At 39.5% G+C, this 21,854-nt stretch overlaps 1 protein-coding gene across 13 annotated transcripts in view, besides 1 other annotated feature; it reads left to right on the top strand.

Annotated features, from left to right (window-relative positions):
- The window catches only part of SLC35F4 (solute carrier family 35 member F4), a 419,262-nt gene that overhangs the window by 151,554 nt on the left and 245,854 nt on the right, over positions 1 to 21,854 (top strand). Inside the window, exon 2 of one of the 13 annotated variants that reach the window (NM_001352012.2) lies at positions 14,029 to 14,301. The exons of the other annotated variants lie outside the window; for them this stretch is intronic. Within the exon in view, the coding sequence (NP_001338941.1) occupies positions 14,262 to 14,301 (40 nt within the window). The 5' untranslated portion in view covers positions 14,029 to 14,261. The remainder of the gene's footprint in view (positions 1 to 14,028; positions 14,302 to 21,854) is intronic. 13 annotated transcript variants of the gene reach the window in all.
- Positions 15,023 to 15,524: an enhancer, noted in NCBI's record as "NANOG hESC enhancer chr14:58282822-58283323 (GRCh37/hg19 assembly coordinates)". NCBI's record gives its function as "activates a minimal SCP1, AML or CMV promoter by ChIP-STARR-seq in primed H9 embryonic stem cells {active_cell/tissue: H9 hESC(primed)}" and the evidence as "EXISTENCE:reporter gene assay evidence [ECO:0000049][PMID:30033119]".

Genomic DNA, 21,854 nt, shown 5'->3' with positions numbered 1-21,854 from the left:
ATTCCACAGAAAACAATAACACAGGATAGATTATTTACTGTGGCAGTTTGTGAAACATAGATTGCTGCTGTACTGCAAATTCTGCTTATCTCTTAAGAGCTGTCTGTACTGGGTGGCTTTAGTTTGTCCCTCCAGATTCACGCTTGGCCCTTCTCCACCCTCCTCTGTCCTGGGAGGCTATGCTGTATGCCTGCGTCTATCACTGTCTTGGTCAGCTTGGGCTGCTATCACAAAATACCAAAGATTCTGTGGCTTAAACATTGACATTTATTTCTCACAGTTCTGGAGGCTGGGAAGTCTAAGATCAAGGTGCCAACAAACTCTGTGTCTAGTGAGGGCCCTCTTTCCGGCTTGCAGAGGCTGCCTTCTCACTATATTCTCACATGGCAGGGAGAGAAAGATATTAGAGATACTGTGGAAGGAGAATGGTAGAACTTGGCATCTGTAAGAAGTCAGGAAAGGAATGGGAGGAATCGAAAATCACCTCCCTGCTCTGCTGGCCTGAGTGATTGGTGCAGAGTAATGGTGTAGAAACAGAAATGGGAACACAGTGAAGAAATCAGAGTTGAGAGAGAAGATGATAAATTCTGACAGAGCATGCATACCATGTCCCACCAGCATTCAAGAGCAGGGATGCATTCTATTTCATTTTTGCACCCCCAGTGCTTCAAATAAGTGCTGGTGTTCTCTATACAAGTGCTGTTGAACTTGCTCCACAGGTAGTCTGTGCAGAAATGGGCACTGTGTTCAGTTAGGGTGAATTTCTGATAAATTGGCTCTGGGTTTTTGATTTTGGGGTCACAGAGAAAGTGTAAAAAGAGTGTGTGATTCTTTGTCTTGCAACACCTCCAGCCATGGTCTGTTTTTGTAACCAGTGACAGCTTCCCTCCTCATAGATAAAGTTGGTATTTTACAGAATATATCAGGCATATACCATTTTCCCATTGAAGGTAGGTGGTCTGAAACTGAGATCTGAGCAGAGCCATCCAGAACCATATTGGCTCATTTAATTATGAGATTTTAAGTTATAGGCTTCATAAGTGAGTTTCCAATCACTTTGCTCTTTAAATTTTCAATCTTTCTCATGCTAGACTTCAGGTTTTCTAAGAAATATCTTTTAGGATTTCCATAGCATAACATAAAATTGGGTTGTAACTTCATATTTGGGGCATATTCTAAGTTACTCTTAGACTGTAAGAAGTATTTCTCTTGTCCGAAGCTAGGGAGATCCAAATAAAAATCTCCTCGGATATTATAAAGGAAGTGGTAGTTAACATACATTATTTCATTTAATCCTCACAGTGACTCAATGAGGTGGCATTACACCACATTTTCTCCGTTTTACAGATCACGAAACCAAGGATTACAGAGATTGATCAATTTGACCAAAACCACACAGTTGAAATGTTACAAAGCTGAAAAAAAGGCAACATATGTGAAGAGGAAATAATGCTACATAAACACTTTCTTTTGGAGTAGTATTTCTAGATTTTACTTCCATTACTTTTTTTTTGTAGGTAGCAGACAATGTATTGGAATATTTTTGTAAAGTTAAAAATTATATACTTTTTTCTACTCTTCAAAATTAAAACTGTAGAGGAATGGAAATAAGTTTTATTCTTGCTTATACACTCTCTTCTCTTTTCATTCCAATTTGCATTTAACTGCAAGATTATTCTTCCTGCTGTGTTTTTTCCATAAAGTCACTCTCCTGTTAAAAAACCATGAGTGATTTCCCATTGCTTATAAAATACAATTCAACTCCCCTATCTGGAGATTCTCAAATTTTTTCTTTTTTATATTCACGGCCTTCTTTGAAATATTGGAATTTTTATCTGCATGCCTGAAGGGATTAAAAGACTCAGAATCACACACAACCAGCCAGTGATCACTACCCACAACCCCTGTTGCAGTAGCGATTGGTCTCACAGCACCCAGGAAAGGAGCCACAGCTTGGCACCTTCATTCTTCTTGGCCTTTCTTCGGCATTGTGACACAGGTTGAGCCTGGTGCCAGGGCTGTGCTCTCCTGTGTACTTCAGAGGAAGCATCCTTTCAGGTTCCAGAGTGACACCATCTTTCCTGCAGACTTGGCCTGCCCTCTTGGTCACAGCGTTTTAGACCTGCTTTGTACAACTCTTTCAGCTTGTATTCTGTCACTGAGGGAACAATAGCTTTCCTCAGTGGTAGCAAACTATGTTTTTCTCATTAATAAAGTATGACAGCAGGGCACCTGTTTGAGAGTCACTTCCACAGGGAGCTGCTCCAGCTTTGAACTACATCTCTGCATAGTTCCCTTCCCCCACGACCCAGACCTATAGGCATTCTCTCTCCTGCCAGAGCGCTTCTGCTCACAGTGATCCCAGCTGCCTGGTTATCTTCTTCTACTGAAATCCTAACTACATTTCAAGATCTGGTTTAATTTTCATTTAATGACTTCTGCCCCTGGTGGTCCTGTTCTGAATGCCTCTAACATCATTTGTCTGTGTAGCTCATTTGGTGCTTGGATGTCAGAACCTTTGTGTGAACATCCCTGATTCAATAAAACTGCAATTAAAGGCAGGCCCAAATATTATATTTTGTACCTATTGCAGAACCTAATAAGCATGTGCATAGTGAATGCCCAGAAATCTAACTCCAAGGGCATTTAAAAGGAGGCATAGTGAGCATGGCTGTTTAAAAGCAATGAGTTGTGTAACATGGCTAAAAAGTGTCCCGTGGGTGAGCTTGGGCTATGGAGAAATTATTATTGTTGTTGCATAATATTATTCCATTTTCAAAATACCCTTGTGGAGCTCTGCTCACCTTTATTTCTAAGGCAGAATTGCTGAATCCTTCACCCCATGGCAGACCTCGGGTTGCCCAGAGTTTGCTGTTTTCTGAAAGAACAGTCCAACTCCTATCCTGGATCACCAGCCACGTGTGGAATGAGCTGGCCACTGAGACCAGGAGTGGTGTTGGTGACATTCTGTGACACAATGGACTTCTTGCACATATTTAAGAATTTGGCAGAGAGCACAGGCTGTTTACATTAAATTTAAAAAGCAAATTAATTTGAAAGGATTCTGGAGAGATGTGTGTGAAGAAATTCTACTACCATAGAAAAGTGATCTTTTCATCTTTTTAAAATTAAAATATACCCATTGCCTGAATTTTTAAATTCCCACCCTGAATTTTTCTATCACATGAGAATTTGGCCCAGTGTGTCTATTGAATTACCAATTATTATTATTTATAATACTCTCTTTCTGTTAGTGTTAGAATTCCTTGCAATGCTGACTATGCTCATAGCTTTTTCTGATGTGGTGGTTTCAGTCCTGAGAGAACATTTTCATCATGTGGAGCTTTAAAAAAGATCCTCATCGCTTTCCCAGACCAATCAAATGGAGATCTCTGGCATTGGATCTGGGGCATGGGTGTGGTTTTTTTGTTTAAATAAAGCTCTCCCAAGATTCAAACGTGCATCTGAAGTTGAGGACCACTGATCTCATGGGTTCCTGTGATCTCAACTGGAGCTTATTGCAAAGTGCATGCTTGTTGGTGAGCAGCTATATTAATTTTTGCCTTACTCAGTAATTACATCTGCAGGTCCCTTTAATGGAAATTATATGAGAAGAAACTTAGAAGAAGAGACAATTAGAATTTGGGATTCATCCTAGGGCTCCTTCATGACCAAAACAAATGTAGATGCAGGTTATTAGCTGAAATCTTGGTAATGTCTTCAGCTGAGGTTCATGCTTTATGGAAATTGTTCATGCATTTAGAAAAATAGCATGTCCAAGTTCTTGTTTAACAAGTTACTTATTTACTGTTTTTTTTTTTTTTGAAAAATAAGGAGTGAAGGGAAGTATTGCCTTATAATTGTATATTAAACAAGGTTGTTAACAAAAAAATCACCAAAGTATTGGCTTCTATTGTGCCTCACTGTGGAGATTTCATATATAACTCTTAATTTTCTCTCAGTGGTTGTCAGTGGACAACGGGTCAGTACTTGCTGCAAAATTCTATGTCCTCTTGCCTTCCATCTTTATAGGTATTGGAGAAATATTTAATGAGAATAGAAAATAAATTCCTTCAGAGAAAAATTAGTCCTTTTTTTAAAAAAATAATTTAATATTATTTTAAGTTCCAGGATACATGTGCAGGATGTGCAAGTTTGTTACATAAGACACAGGTAAACATGTGCCATGGTGGTTTGCTGTACTTGTCAACTTATCTCCTAGGTATTGAGCCCAGCATGCATAGCTATGTTTCCTGATGCTCTCCCTCCCCCAGCTCCCGTGAAAGGTCCTAGTGTGTGTTGTTCCCCTCCCTGTTCTCATCATTCAGCTTCCACTTATAACTGACAACATGCAATATTCGTTTTCCTGTTCCTGCGTTTGTTTGCTGAGGATAATGGCTTCCAGCTCCATCCATGTCCATGCAAATGACATGGTCTTGTTCTTTTTTATGGCTGCATAGGATTCCATGGTAAATATATACCACATTTTCTTTATCCAGTCTATTATTGATGGGCATTTGGGTTGATTCCATGTCTTTGCTATTGTGAATAGTGCTGCAATGAACATACGTGTGCATATATCTTTATAATATAATGATTTCTATTCCTCTGGGTATATACCCAGTAATGGGATTGCTGGGTCAAATGGTATTTCTGATTCTAGGTCTTTGAGGAATTACCACACTGTCTTCCTCAATGGTTGAACTAATTTACATTCCTGCCAATAGTGTAAAAGAGTTCTTATTTCTCCACAGCCTCACCAGAATCTTTTGTTTCTTAACTTTTTAATAATTGCCATTCTCACTGGTGTGAGATGGTATCTCATTGTGGTTTTGATTTGCATTTCTTTAATAATTAGTGATGTTCAGCTTTTTTTTCACATGTTTGCTGGCCACATGTATGTCTTCTTTTGAGAAGTGTCTGTTCATGTCCTTCACCCACTTCTTACTAGTTTTTTTTTTCTTTTAAATTTGTTTAAATTTCTCTTGTAGACTCTGGATATTAGACCTTTGTGAAATGGGTATATTGCAAATATTTTCTCCCATTCTTTAGGTTGTCTGTTTACTCTGATGATAGTTTCTTTTGCTATGTAGCTCTTTAGTTTAATTATATCCCATTTGTTGATTTTTGCTTTTGTTGCAATTGCTTTTGGCATTTTCATCATGAAATCTTTGCCCATGCCTATGTCCTGAATGGTATTGCCTAGGTTTTCTTCTAGGGTTTTTATAGTTTTAGATTTTACATTTAAGTCTTTAATCCATCTTGAGGTAATTTTTATATAAGGTGTAAGGAAGGGGTCCAGTTTCAATTTTCTGCATATGGCCAGCCAGCTCTTCCAGCATCATTTATTACATAGGATGTCCTTTCCCCATTGCTTGCTTTTGTGAGCTTTTTGTAGATCAGATGGTTGTAGGTGTGCAGCCTTAATTCTGAGTTCTCTATTCTGTTCTATTGGTCTATTTGTCTGTTTTTGTACCAGTACCATGCTGTTTTGGTTACTGTAGCATTGTAGTATAGTTTAAAGTCAGGTAGCATGATGCCTCCAGCTTTGTTCTTTTTGCTTAGGATTGTCTTGGCTATATGGGCTCATTTTTGGTTCCATATAAATTTTAAGATAGTTTTTTCTAATTCTGTGAAGAATGTCAATGGTACTTTAATGGGAATAGCAATAAATCTATAAATTACTTTGGGCAGTATGGCCATTTTTGTGATATTGATTCTTTCTGCTCATGAGCATGAAATAGTTCTCCATTTGTGTCCTCTCTGATTTCTTTGAGTGGTGGTAGGTAGTTCTCCTTGAAGAGGTCCTTTACTTCCCTTGTTATCTGTATTCTTAGGTATTTTATTCACTTTGTAGCAATTGTGAATGGGAGTTCATTCATGATTTGGCTCTCTGCTTGTCTATTGTCGGTATATAGGAATACTTGTGATTTTTGCACAATGATTTTGTATCCTGAGACTTTGTTGAATTTGCTTGTCAGCTTAAGAAGCTTTTGGGCTGAGATGATGGGGTTTTCTAGATATGGGATCATGTCATCTGCAAAGTAGTTACTTTCTTGTTACTGAACATGTTCTAAAGCTTGTAGAACTGCATTTTATTGTTTGGTGAATTGATCAGCTCTAAGAAGCTATTCTACAGAGGTAGGTAGGGAGTGTCAAATCCTTGTGATGGTTGCCTAGAGATCCTTTTGAAAGACATATACCCAGTATTAGAACAGACTCAAGGTATCCTGTTTATTAGTCATACCAGCATTTAAGTCCTCCACTTATCTTCATTCATCATTTACTCTGCTTTCAACCTTCTCCCTTTTAATGTAGCCAAATGATTATTTCCCAGACATTTCTAAGGCTTAAGCATTTTTGCTGTTTAAACAAAACACTTTTTTGTTTGAATGGTTGAAGTATTCGCCTGAAACCTCCTGCTCTCATGGTCTTCTCCTTGTCTGTAAATGGCAGCCCCACCTTCCAGAGGCTCAGGCCTAAGACCTTGGCATGGTCCATACAGATCCCACCTCCAAATCCTCCACAAGCTTAAGTTCTACCATCAAAATATATTCCAAACTGACCTTTCTTGCCACCTGCACTTCCTCATTCTGGTTCAAGTCTTTTTTTACCCCTGAAATATTGCTGTACCCTCTTGACTCTTTTTCCTCCTTCTGCCCTTGACTCTCAGTCTGTTCTTCACACGGAAGCTAGAGGGATCTTTTTAATATTAATCAAGATGATATCATCTTTAAACCCCAGTTCCTCCGATAGCTTTCTCTTCCACTCAATGTAAAATCCATAATCCTTACAATAGCCTCTAAGGCCCTGAATAATCTACACTTCCGTGAGCACACAATCAACTACTTTCTCCCTTGTTCAGTCAGCTCCAGACATATTGACCTTGTACTCTTTCTAAAACCAATCAGACTTTCAAAGTTCAGAACCTTTGCAATAGGTGTTTCCTCTGCCTGGAACACTCTTCCCCCAGATATCTCTATGTCTGGCTCTCTCACTTCTTTTATTTCTCAGTGAGACCTTCCTTGATAACCCCAAAGAAAAACTAAAATTGTACCCTCTCCATCATCCTTCACTGCCTGTTTTTATCCAAAGCATTTGTCATCATCAAACATATTACATGTCTCTATCATCTGTTTATCAATCATCTATCTTCTATTTATGTATGTACCTATATATGTATGCGTGTACATATGTATGTATGTATCTATCTATCTATCTTCTACCTACCTACCATCTACTCTCTATCTCTTGTCCTCCAACTAGACCAAGCTCTGACTGTTGTCACTGCTGTGTTGCCCAGGGTCTAGAACATTGCTGACACTGTAGATGCTCAGTTAGCATTTGTCGATTAAATACTGAATGAATGTGTGAAGCATGTATGCTAACTTTCAACTCCAGTGATTCAGACTTCTGACCTAGTAGTCAAACTTTTCTGATACATGCAAACAGAATTCTGGATTCTCGGTGTCATGTTTTGTTGATCAACGGATTATAAATCTTTTAAGTGACATTATTCCAGTGGGCTAGTAAAGATCATCTAAAAGCATGAAAATGGTCCTTCAGGTTCCATCAATTATTGCCAGATGTTAGAATATTGTTCTTTACTTCCTGATTTGGGGAATATGATATAAAATTAGCTGAAATTCCATACTGAGAAATATCTACAAGGTAGAGACAAATCTTAAAATGTACAAGAAAACAAAGTTGTTAATGATATGTTTAATGCATTATTCATCTGAAAGGTGAGATTATGGGTGCCTTATTTTGTTATTTTTTCCATGTCTATATTTAAAATTTTTATATAATTTAGTCAAATAATAATTGAAATGATTACAAAACCAAACTGATTTTTAATAATTAAAGATGTTATTCATCATACTTTAACAGTATTCTGTGAATTTCTATGTAATAAACACCTATCTATTAAGACCAGAATAGATGTAGTGTCAGATTGCAAGTTGCCCAAGACTCCCAAGACTTTTAACATCATAGAGCCAGAGTCATTAGTTCATTCCTTCATTGAAAAATATTAATTGAGCACCAACTAGGAACCAGGCACTATATCAGGCACCAGGGATATAGCTATAAACAAGACAGCAGGGCCCCTCAGGGGCTTTGCGTGATTCAAATTTATGCCACTCCCCTGGAGCGTGATTCAAATATGCTATGTTGTAATACTAACCCTGATTTCACGAACTTGATTTTCTAGAAGGAAGTACAGACAATGACAAGTAAACAATAAATGAGCTGATTAGAGATTTGCTGAGATCTATGAGGACAGGGTAGGTGATCACAATATTGTGAGGAGATGACATTTATGCTGGGACCTGAAGGGTGAGGCTGAGGTAGCTGAGCAAGAGTGTTCCAGGCAGAAGGGGAGAGAAAAGGGACTAGGAAGCCTGGAGTGTGGTGAGTAAGGAGCACAATCCAAGAGAATGATGCCGAGAAGGTAGGTGGGGCCATCTCACATAGGGCTCAGGGCTGTGGTGAGGAGTGTGGAGGGTATTCTGAGTGCAGTGGGGGACTGTGGGTGGTTTTAAACAGTGGAGTGTCATGATCTGATTCTGTTTTAAGATCTCTCTGGCCACTGAATAGGCAGCCACAGACATGAGCCTGGAGTTCCCCCAGAGAATTTCGAGCTGGAGATACTAACTTGGAATATATCACTAGATGGATTTTTTGATGCCTGGGAACACTTAGGGGATGAAGTTGTAGATACAGAAGAGATCAGGCCCTGGACACCCCAGGTGCTAGCACCCATGGCACCCCAGCCTTTAGAAATGTGACATAAGAGGAGAAAGCCACAAGAGTGGTGGAGAAAAAAATTGACCTCAAAGTAGGAGGAAAACCAATGATGTTGTTTTAAGCCACAGAATTTTAGGGTAGGTTATTCAGCAATAGATAATCAGAACCCTAGGAGAGACCCCTTGGACATTATAGTCAGCTGTATTAAGGCAGAAGATCCACTGCTTTTTGCATAGAGACAACAATATTGTTTCTTTATGGGTCTTTGAATTACTCATTTTTATTTGGAGCTAGTAATATGTTGGGTTTTTTAAGCAATAAGAGGCCATGAAAAAAAAGGAGAAAATAAAACTTAAGAACTGTCAGATGGCTAACAACCAGAATTTTTTAGGTGACTGTAGAGAATAACCTAGTTTACCTTGTCTTCTTCCCATAGGTCTGCAACTGTCTGCTAATTCCTTACCCCTGCAGTGTAATCACTGCTGTTCACAATGCTGACCTTGATTTTCTTTCTGTGCTTTGATTTTTGAATCTTATTTTAGTGTTAAGTGTTGCATAGGTGATACTGCAGAACAATGATGTAATTGATGGAAAGGTGCCAAGAAACACAGTAAAAGGATAAAGGATATAAAGCAAAGGACACAGAAACTTACCTCTAGTCAGGTAACTACACAAATCAGACAATGCAATGTGCTCCAAGACAAAGGTAAAGTCTCTCAGGTCCCCAAAGTTCCCATGAGGTCTGAGCTGTCAGAGAAGCATCAGCATAGCCAGAGAACAGCCACTGGGTACAGACTGAGGTTTTGCTTGCCTCCTTGTATTTGCCAGGCCAGGGCCAGTAGTAGGGCAAGGGAAGTCAAGAGCCTAAAGCACCAAATCTAAAGAGACACCTACTCTCAGGGACATGGACATGTAGGCAGGGTCAGTGCCTGAGAGTGGGCACCTCCTTAGGTGCCTCACTTATCCAACCCTATTCCTGGCCCTGCTCCCAGCTTCTCCCAACTGTTCTGGATTTCCTGTATGCTGGCCTCCTCAGAACTGATGCAGAACAATTCTAGCATATTTATTAGTGATAACTTCAGCATCAGGTGAAATGGAGGTCACCTGGTTGCTTAGACCAGCACCAGGCTTTCAACTTACTAGAAATCCCTTCCTACAAATTAATTTTTCTAACATTGTACTTGACCAGAATATTTGATTTAACCAACCTTCCCCAGCCATGGTGGAAAGCAAAGAATTGACTATACTTGAGGTGCTCATGGTTGTCCACGGATAAACTTTACTTGAATGGACAAGTTATTAAGTGAACTTTCCTATTACATTTGTTCCTCCAGGCTCCTTAACACCTTGCTTTAGTTTTACTGAATGCCCTTATTACCTGCTGTTATGGTTTGTATACTGCATGCGCACAGCTTTTTTCTTACCATTGAAAAGCTATTGATAGTTTAAAATCTGCCTTTGCCCAGTGGTAGCCTTAGCTGCAAAGTGAATTTCTACACCAAAATGAATTTCTACATGAAGCTGTAATCATTATTTGCCAAAAGAGCCACCTTTAGTATTTGGATTCTAGTATAATTTTCTATACTATCACAAAAATCCAAAAGCCTGGGAAGAAGTTGTCTGTGTGACTTGGAAGCTGTGGCTGAACTAGCATTGTTTTTGCCTTTGGCATCACAAAAATCCAAAAGCCTGGGAAGAAGTTGTCTGTGTGACTTGGAAGCTGTGGCTGAACTAGCATTGTTTTTGCCTTTGGCTTGTTATAAGGAGGAAAACACGACAATGACAGAACAGGCAACAATGGCAATTAAGGGTCATGAGTGAATTGTCTTACAAGTATGAAATAAAGCAAACATGAAAAAGAAAGTACTAATAACTGATAAAGTAAATCAAGCTGAAAAATTTAGGTCACAGTAAAGAATAGGTGTTTTATAAGCCTTATGTGATAGCAAGCTTTCTCTTTTTGTTAACAGACACTTCCAAGGCATTAGTGGCATGATTAGAAATCAGCCATTTCTCTATTCTCTAAGAATACCTGTATCTTTGCCAGGTATTCTTATTACTCCAATCAATTGGAATTTGTAAGTCTGATGATCCTTATAGAAGCAGTGCCTTGTCATGAGATCTGACACTAAAAATACAATCCTCAGAGGCTTACTCAGTTCATACTCTAAACCTTGAGAAGTTTTATCTGTTACCAAAAAGGAAGTTTTGTCTCCTCTCTATTGGCACTCATTCCGCAGATACATTTTCAAAAGAGAAAAATATTAAACGATGTAGTTTGTGGCATTACAGATACTCTGAAGAGAACAGTTCATTGAAGTTAAGAAGAAAACATTAATTACTGAGACATATATAGCTTTTGAGTTACCTCTGATCATTGGTGAGAAATGTGTCTTGCATTGGCTTATACGTTATTTTTTCTCCGCTGTGGCATGCTGTCTGTGCTCTGGAGAATTCTAACTCTTGGATAAAGTATACCATTTTTCTCTTACCCAGACTCACATTTTGCCTTCAGTTGCTGCCCTAAAAACTCTTTTCAGCCTACTCTTATCTACATTTATTTAGAGCGATCAGTAATAATAAGCATATACTGAAAGATGTTTACATTTGGGCTGAACAGTGTGCTAGTCTTTTTTATGTTTTGTGTGTGTGTATGTGTTTATAGAAACCCTTTCCTAGCAAAAATTCATTAAAAATCTATATTTGCTTTTAAATGTTTCAAGTTTTATTTTTCATGTGTAGGATTTTAATACCTAAAACTGATTTTTATTTATGGTGTGGTATAGGCATACAAATTTATTATTTTTTCCACAAAGATAACCAGTTGTTTCAGTATATTTATTGAATTACTCATCCATCAGTTCTCCCAGTTATTCTCAATTCCACCCCTCTCATGTATTGGGTTTTCATATAGGTGTGGGTCTATTTTGGAATCCTTTATTCCATAAGACAGCTTTCTAATTTCCTCATCCATACCACACAGTCCTAAGTACTGTAGATTTATAAGAAGCCTTGGTATTTAGTAGGGCTAGTTCTTCTATTTCTTCTATCTTTTTTTTTTTTTTTTGAGACGGGGTCTTGCTCTGTTGCCCAGGCTGGAGTGCAATGGGGCGATCTCGGCTCACTGTGCCCTCTGCCTCCCAGGTTCAAACAATTCTCCTGCCTCAGCCTCCTGAGTAGCTGGGAATACAGACGCACACCACCATGCCTGGCTAATTTTTGTATTTTTTTTTTTTTTAGTAGAGATGGGGTTTCAACATGTTGGCCAGGCTGGTCTCAAACTCCCGACCTTGTGATCTGCCTGCCTAGGTCCCCCAAAGTGCTGGGATTACAGGCGTGAGCCACTGTGCCCAGCCTATTTCTTCTATCTTGCTTTCTAAAACTGTCTCTGTCATTCTTGGCCTTTTGCTCTTCCTTATGCATTATGGAATCAACTTATCAAATTTCATGAACAACTTTGTTGAAGTTTTTGTTTGTATTAGATTTGATTAATGAATTAATTAGGAGATTCTCCTTATTGTTAAACATTGTGTATCTATTTATATATTTAAAATTTCCCCATACAGTTGTATAATATTCTCCATATGACATATCTTTATATATTTCATTTTAATAATTTTTAAAATTTTATTTTTGAATCCAATATTATGGGTAAAAAGGAGTGTTATTGGTTTTAGAATATGAATCTTGTATTTCACAACTTGGTCAATCTTCTTATCAGTGCTAGTAATTTCTTTACAGATTTTCTTAGATTTTCTGCATTGACAATCATATTATGTGTAATCAAGGACAATTTTGTCTCTTCTAATTCTTATTCCCCTCAAAAAATTTTTTTAAATTTAATGTATTGGTTAGGATGTCTGCAGGATATTAATTGGCTGTCCATAGCAGAGATTCTTGTCTTGAAACCGAATTTAAAGGGAATGTTTCTAATGCTGTATCATTCAATGTGATGCTTGCCATTAAGTTTTTGGTAAAGTCTCTTTATCAGGTTATTGGCAGAATTGCTGCAACCTATGACAAATGTAAAACAGCAGGGTTATTGAAACAAGCTACAGTCCACATGTTGTACTTCGTCCTGAGGCTGTAATTGATATTCATCAGCACACTCTTCTGTAACCCATTCTAGAGTTCATTCATGCTTACATTGTGTTTAAGCAGTTCTAAGTTGTTTGCTTGGTCAGTGACCCAGATCTTCATCCCTTAGAGGTCTGAGCCTTTGTTTATTTTATTTTTTAATACCTGTTGGACCATGGTTGCTGAGATTTCACATTTAATGTGACTACAGGGCAGAGAAGCACCATGAAACACACCAGTAAATTCCCTGATGTACAGACACTCTTCTTTCTGCTCCTACTGTGTAGCATCAATCCTAGATCTTGACAGCAACAAGGGTCAATAGCTCCCATCTTTACAGTGATCCTTTCTTTGCCCAGTAGTCTACTGGAATGAAGAGCTCATATGATTAATTGATTATTATAGCTTCGTGGTCAAGCCCCTTACTGCATCCTCTGGTAGAAGCCTAACCTACACTGTGAATCAAGGGGTTCACAAACAGATCCTGTTTGTGGAGAGAAGCAGCACACATTCAGCAAGTGGGTTACTGAGCGGAATGCTGACAGGGCTCAATCCTACTTCACTGTTGGTTCCAGACCCATGAATTTTAGTTATTGGAGAGAGAGCCCCTGACTTTTCCTCCAGCCTTGATGCCATGGGGGCAATTATTTCTTCCTTGTCTCTGATTATTAAGTGCTAACATCTGGCCTCTGCCATTACCAAATTCCACAACCTAATATATATACTGATGTTGAAGTTGGGAGCCCAGTTCCACAGCAGTATTGCCTACTGTCAATTTTAACCTGCAGAGGACAGCCATTGCCTAGCTTCTCAGTGGGTCTGGTATGCCTCTCACCTGTGCATTCCCTATTGCTTTAATGAAGTGACTATCCTTGGACCCTTCTGGAGAATACATTCAGGTGGTGAGTTCTCCAGCAGCACTTAAATCCTTTCTAACAGTCTCACCTCTCAGAGGCTTCTGACTCCTACCTCAATACTCTGCTGAGACAATTCCATAATCTCTGCCTCGTTCACTGTAGGCCATTGTCATGATCAATTTTTAACGGGTCATTCTAACCACATTTTTGGGTCAGAATCAGGTGGCTTTGCCAGAACATTAAGCTCTCAAATCATAGCACATCAATAAATCCTCCCCTATCCCCACTGCATTTTCTGCTTGTAAAACCCTGAAGACCTGTCTCATATGTATTCTCCACTCTCCAGGTTCCCAGCAGCACACATTAGAATCCTGCAGTTCCATTGCATATATCCTCGTTCCTGCCACAGCAGAGATTTTATTTCCTTCCTCAGGCTGTGGTGCAGCCCATTCTGGAGGCAATAAGGGGAAGCATGGTAGCTCTTGGGATGAAAAGCCTCGTCACGTGAAGCACCTGCCTCAGGTGAAGTCCTTGCAGCATCTCCAGTGGAAAGGAGGCCATTCTCTAATAAGAGGGAGGATGCTGCTTCTTCCAGGCTGGAGAATTCAAAAGGATCCAGGTATTCAAAATTCTCAGGGCTTTCTACATCTAAGGCTCAAGGGCCCACTCTTATCAGGGCACTGGTTAAGACATAAGAGATCTGTTAGAGATTTCTGTAGCTCTATGGTTGCAGTTTACTAAGGCCAGCCAACCCCACAATCCTTATAATTCGCATTCCCCCATACTGTTCAAATGCAGAAACTAGTGATTCATCTGTCATCTGTACCTCATTTTCATCTACTAGAGGTGAGCCTTTTGATAGTGATACTGGTCACTGGTGAGTCACTAGTTCCAGAGTCCCATTCTGAACATATACTTCCTGTAGCAACTCTCTTAGCTTGTGTTTTCTCAGAAAGTGGAGCCTGAGATACAGGCTTGCACTTAGGAGGTAGTTAAGAGGTGATTCCATGGAGCTGGGATGAGAGTTTCAAAAGAATAAAACAGAGGAGGGAAAGGCAAATGAAAGGTTTATTATCAAGTAGTCACTGTTGTGGGCAGCTGAAACTCAATCATGCCTCCTGTGTAGTCTACAGAATGCAGCTCAAGTCATGCACTCAAAGGAGGTAACAGTGGAGCACTTATCTACAAACTCCCATCCCCCATTGGTCAAAGATTGCTGACTCTGCTTATACAATCCCAAAAGTGAGTACTTTCTTAAATTTTGTGCTTTAGTCACTTGACTTGCCTCATTCTTAGCTCTGCTTCTCAGCTTATGAATATACAGCGTTCAATGTGTTATGAAGTAGACCTTATTGTACCTTTTGTTGTTACTACATCAGTAAATTCAACACAAGAAATTAGCATCTACAAAATGTTAAGAGATCGTATATGTTTTCTGGTTCTGAGATAGTAAACTGAGTTTTTTTTCAGGGGTTGATGAACCCCAAATCAGGTAGGCCCTGAGCTAAGGTTTCTGAATAGTGGAAATTTAGACTATAGGGAGGTTCATTTTCTGCATGACTGGGAGGGCTGAAAGAGTGGGGGTGGATCCTGTGTTGGTGCCTGAGTTGCAGTACTTGATTTGCTTTTGATCAGTAACTATCAGTAGACAATAGCCTCCTCTGCAGTGTAGCCATTTGGCTCTGTTTAATGAGAAGAAAAACAAAGACATTACGTTGTGTTATGAAGTTCGTGAAAATACGATTTTACACGCATGGGGCCCAATGACAATTAAGAGAGAGATATGCCACCATCATTGTGATTCTCCCTGGATTGCAGATATGTGAAGTGCAACTCTCCACTCAGAGACAATATAAAATGTGTCTTGAAAGAACAATGTTGCTGGGTAAAATGAAAATGCCCTGCTTTAGGCCAGACCCCCAAATTTTTACTTCCTTCTTTTTTGAAAGCTTGGCTCTCTATTTGCTTCTTTATCAATAGGTTTTTGCCTTTGGGGTAATCCTGCATGCTTCTTCTCCCTTTTCCAACAGACTTTTTCTTTATACATGCTGACTTTTCATCACTATCTTTTTTACTTCTTAAATTTCCTTTTTTCCACACTTAAAAAAATTTGTGCCTATGAGGAGGAATGTAAGAAAAGTTATTGCTGGCAAGGTTGGTAACACTGGTCTTCTCGGCTAGTCAAGCATCCTGGGAGATGCGCTATTTAGGGGGAGTTTTGGGTGAGGGACTAAAAGGGAATAATGTGTGGGTAGGAGCGCCTCCTGCAAATGACAATGATGCATCCTTAAGTAAATTCTGCCTTGCCAGAAGCTAGGTCATAGCTAGGCAAGCATCAGAGGTAGAAGTAAGAAGGGTCACATATTAAAAATTGAGAGACTGATTTTTCAATTATTTTTCTTTCTTATACATCTTAATGTTTTAGAGTTTGTCTCAGCCCTTGAAGTTAAGGGGACAGGTAAACACTCACCTATGGTAAGAAATGCAATAAGAACCACAAATATGATTTTCTGTACACGACTTAGATGCCAATTTGCCAATATCAAGGGGAAGACCCATATCTTCTACTTCCCGTATGACCAACTTATGGCAAAATGTGCTTCTCTTTAATGAGCATCATGTCGACAATTCAAGGAGTCAATTACACAAATGCTAAAAAACACCCTAATTAATTTGAGATGTCTTAGCAGGTTGGGCTGTGAATTGGTGAAATTAATTTTGATATTGGTTTAAATTGTCACTGAGATGTTGGTATCCGTGACTTTTGGTGTTATTCTAAATAAAGGGTTGGCAAACTTTCTGTAGAGGGTTAGATGATATTTTTCATTTTGCTGGCCATTTGGTGCCTTTTGAAACTAGTTAACTCTGCAGTTGTAGTGCAGCAAAAGCAGTTATAGACAATACATGAACAAATGAGTATGACTGTATTCAATGAAATCTTATTTACAAATACAGAAGAATGGCTGGATTTGCCCCATGAGCTGTAACTTGCCAACCCCTGTTCTAAATTGTCACTGAGATGTTTGTATCTGGCAAAGCACTCCTAAATGACGTTTATTTTTTAAAACAGATGTTTCAGTTTCCACGGCAAGCATCTCTAAGGGTTCCATGAAAGAAAATGCAGTCTCATTTAATTTATGTTCGCTGCATCACATTCTGCCCCTATTCCATCGCCATACCCAGGGTCCAAATGTTTGGACATGACAATCAGTGCTTCAAACCTACCTGAAACCACCTTTATACACTTGAAAACCATTTACTTAAAGAGTAATGGCACACATTGCAGCAACTTTTCTTTCTTGGGTCATGGCAGCAACTATTATTTCATCAAATCACATTTGATTGAATGCATTCAGAATTAGTATTCATAATAAATTAATAATTAATGAAAACTACTGTTAGGAATGAGTTCTTTGATTTAGGGAAAGCGTCAGAGTTTGCAAACAGCATCTTTCATTTGTATCCTTTTCTATAGAGAAGAAAGACTGCTTTATGTTAAGAGAGAGTCTTGAATAGAGTTGGTGTTGAATAAATGTGTTCAGTTTGGACTAGGTCTTTGGGTTTGTCTCTGCCAGTTTTCCTGTTCTTCCTTAAACTTAGAGCAGAGAAACTGATGCCATTGCCTCTGCAAAAGAAAATTCTGAAGTTAGAAGTAATTGTTTCAAGGGCTAGCCCTAGGTAGTAAATCTTTATTAAATATGTTTAATGAACTTGATTGCACATTTATTGATGGCCTACTATGTGAAAAGGGCTCTGACAAATGCTAGCAGCTATCAAGAGATAGCTAGCAAATGCAAGCAAATGCAAGAGACACATTTTCTGCCTTTCAGAAGTTTACTATTTATAATCAGCAGATGAACATGTTAAAGTTCAATACATACATACAGCTGCATCCTGGGCTTTTTCAGGCCAGGACTGATTACGGGTAACTGCAACATTAAGCCCATAGTTAAAAACAGAATGGCTCTAATTCCCACCGCTAATGCTAGACTTCTAGACCCTAAAGCGTCCCCACAACGATTTATTGGACAGTGATACAACCCCAGAGCATGGACCACCTAAGGGAATTTGCACCACCATGAGGAATCCATCCTCTTTTTCTCCCTTCCTGTGGTGTGGCCTGCGGCTGAGCCAGCCCTGCCTGTCTCTGTGATTCCCACCACAACCAACCAGGCCAGTGCCCATTGTTCTGGACTGTCCTGCTCTGTCAAACCCACTGATGCTGTGCAACTTGTTGGTGCATCCATCTGCACACTTGATTGAGCTGCTTTTTATAAGTATTAATGCTTTTTATACTTATAAAACCCCATATCTTATAAAAAATTAATACTTATAAAATACTTTTTATAAGGAAGCATTAATATTTATTAAAATACTTTTTTTTATTTTTTTGAGACAGTCTCACTCTGCTCACTGCAACCTCTGCCTCCTGGGTTCAAGCAATTCTTCTGCCTCAGCCTCCCGTGTAGCTGGGACTACAGGCACACACTGCCATGCCTGGCTTATTTTTGTATTTTTAGTAGAGATGGGGTTTCACCATATAGGCCAGGCTGGTCTTGAACTCCTGACCTCAGGTAATCCACTGGCTTCGGCCTCCCAAAGTGCTGGGATTACAGGCATGAACCACCACAGCCGGCCTATAAAAGTACTTTTTATAAGTATTAATGCTATTATAAGTTAGCTGCTGTGTGAGAAGGGCCATACTGCAGAGTGCCCCAGTAGGGCGTGGTGTTGGGGTGGAGTTGGGCCATGATACTGAAAGGTTCTACTGCATAATTGGTGGGAAGTGAGGATGCTGGATCTAACTGCTGGGTTGGACCTGACACTCACAGACTGTGTAATCTTATGTACATTCCATAGCCTCTCTGTGCCTGTTTCCTCATCTGAGAAAAAGAGATAATAATACTCCCATATCATACTATTGCTCTGAGAATCAAATGAATTAATCAAGTAAAGCATTTAGAACAGCTTCTGGCACACAGGAATCACTACACAGATGCTGTTTGCTATCACTGTTATTATTATCCCTTCAACCCTCAGGGAGGAAGGTCACGGCCTGTGGTCTCAGGACATCTAATGCTGTTAACTCTATGATCGAGCAGTTGCATTATGTCATAGGATTATACTGTACATGTGGTATTTTCTGTGACTGTCATGACTTGAGAAAAGTCAGAAGGCATTGCTCTTACATGGTTCTAGTTTAAGTCTCAGGAAGACTAACAGATGCTTTTTTTTTTCTTTGTCCGTTCTGTAGATGATGATGCTGAGGTTAACAAACTTGCCCCAAGTCATACACTTAGAAAATGTCAGAGCATAAATTTAAATCCAAATTCATTGGGCCCCAGGACCCTTGAGCACTGGGTGAAATGCCACAGTTTACTCCAGTGACATAGGACAGCTCCTTTACTCCTCTCCTTGCTCCACTTTGTCATATACTCCCAAAGCCTAGCTGCCTGGGGGCCTCTCAGAGATGTGTGAATATATTTAGTGAAATATCTCCCTAAGCCGCCCTTTTCCAGGACTTAGTCAAAGGCCAGAAGAACAGTGCTGGTGGGCCAGGAGGGTAGGGACTGACACTCTGTTTCTTTAGCATGATTTATATCTTGGTGGATACCGAGTGGCCTCATGTAAGTAGACTCTGAAAGGGAGGTGGGAGGGGAGGGGCACAGTTTGGGTTCCAGCTGGGCCACACTTTATCTGTAGTGCAGATTTACACTTGCTTTGGATGTTGAGATCTAAAAGAGCCCAGCAGACATGACACCACACAAGCTATATTTAGGAAGTTTTAATAGCCTGGCTTGGTGGTATCCCTTAGGGAATACACATCACTGATTAGCTAGTGTCACTGTTGCTCCACTGGTGGGCAACTGCAATAGCAAGACATTTTTCTTCTAAAAAATGAATTTCTAAGTCAAATTCATAGCAAACTCAGACATTTGACCTTATTATTATTTTTTATTTTTAGAAACAGAATCTTGCTCTCTCACCCAGGCTGGAGTGCAGTGGCATGATCATAACTCACTGCAGCCTCAAATGTCTGGGCTCCAGCAATCCTCCTGCCTTAGCCTCCCAAGTAGCTGGGATTACAGGTGTGCTCCACCACGCCCAGCTAATTTTTAAATTTTTTTTGTAAAAACAGGGTCTCACTATGATGCCCAGGCTAGTCTCAAACTTATTATTTAAATTGGAGAACGTTTACTGCAGAGTTAACTCACTCTCACTTGACTGTCGCTTGCCTTGTGAAAACTCTACATGCACATTCCAAGTCTGCTAGCCATCGTTTTTGTTATGCAATGTTCTGTCCATCTTCCAGAGTTTCCTCTTTTTGTATTTCTTTTCTTCACATCTTCCTTTTCTCTTTAGAAAACAAAGAAAACAGCTATGAAGGTGCTTTAAAAGCTAAAAGCACTTTACAAACTGAAAACACCTGCAGAATACCACGTCTTCCACATCTGTGGTGGTCCTTTGAAGGTGGAAAGGGGAAGGGCTATTTGTTCAGTATCTGTTAAATGCCAGGCACTGATTGTTTTAGGCCTCCTGATATACATTTTATTTAATTCTCATAATACCTCTGCCATACCTACTTGGCTTATTCTAGAGCCGAGACAATTGAGGCTCAGAAAGATTATGTAACTTGCCCCAAGTCACACAGCTAGTAAGTAGAGATTCTGAACATGAGCTCACACTGAAATGCTTCATCTTTCCACTCTACCTTTCCCCACCTTTCTAAACTTTGGTGCCCACTTTTGGTGGGAAATGAGGAAAAATTATTCTATTCAAGTGATAAATACTGGGTAGTTAAGTTCAGAGAAGTTGCTGCTTTCGCTGTAATTCCAGATCCCTAATCAAACTTCAGTGAGTCGCCTCTCCTGCTTAGCTCTGCCAGAGAGGTCTCTGTTACCCAGTGTCCTCTACTTTGAAGTCAGGATATTTATAAGAAATGTTTTATTTATTGTCTCAAAAACTGGGATTTGGGACAGAGCTTCCCTTAATAAGTCAGTTTGTCACCTGACAATATTAGAATTGCCTAATACTATGCAAATCTAGACAAAACATTCATCTGCCTTAGAGGAATTATGAAGATGGGGCCACACCTTCCAGGTGTGTATAGTCTGAATGGTCACTTTCACTCCTATATGGGGTAGAATGAGCCTTTTTCTTTGAGACTAGCTAAGACTTGTGCAATTCAGAGTTCTCACCTCCAAGCTAAGGCCTGGCCTTTTTGCATAGTGTTCTCTGAAATACTGCATAGGCCATGAGCAGACACTGATAAGGTCAAAGAAGGGGCTATACAGCTTACTATGGACAATCTTGAGAGCTGTCAGGTACTACAGACTTTGTTGCAGGAAGATTGGGCTCACTTGATCCTGTGTGAAAGATACCAGGTGTTGATACTGAGGACGGTGAGAAGAGAGGCTAAAATTGAGGATAGCCAGTGATGGTGTCAGGAATAATTTTGAGGGGCTCCCTGTCCCATAATCTCCATCAACTGTTCTAAACTGCTGTAAACAAACAAAAAGTAAAATTATGAAAATCCACAGGGATACACGCAATAGAAAATGTCAGCTTCAAATGCTCCCCAGAACCAGAAAGGACAGTACTATCTTATTATAGTACCTGTCCAATAAGAATTTTCTTGGCCTTTTACTTCTTCACCCTCACGGCTTCAACCCTGGGTGGGACACAGGTCAGAAACAACAGCTGGTAAGTAGTGGGGGGAGCAAGAATTTAGTACAGGTGTTAACAATGCCTCTTTCCCTAGGATGGGGGAGTAGCAGGCTGCTGGCTCAGGATGGAGGAGGGGCATGTGACAGGGAGAAGTCTCAACTTGAATGATGATTGATCTTGTGATTACTGCATCCAACTAAACATATTTCAATACTGAGTTGAGACTACAATAGTGATTTAAAATGACAGTAGATCGTTCTTTTACCTAAGCATGACCATAATAGTCAAGGTTAAGGGAAGGACCTGACCAGGTTTAAAGAGACAGTGGAAAAAAACAAGTTTTATGATTAAATCCCATGAGTCCTGCTTATTCAATGTGCCAGTTATAGTGAAGGATTGGCAGAAAGAGAAAACTCATTAAATTACAGAGCAGAGTTTGCTGGAAGATGACTTGGTATGATGCAGTCTTTGATTAATTTTGTCAGCTTCTGGAAGCACATTTTA

This window comes from Homo sapiens, chromosome 14 (genome assembly GCF_000001405.40).
Source record: "Homo sapiens chromosome 14, GRCh38.p14 Primary Assembly".
Lineage (NCBI taxonomy): Eukaryota > Metazoa > Chordata > Mammalia > Primates > Hominidae > Homo > Homo sapiens.
Note: the sequence above shows the minus strand (reverse complement) of the source record. Positions and strands in the feature narration are given on the sequence as shown.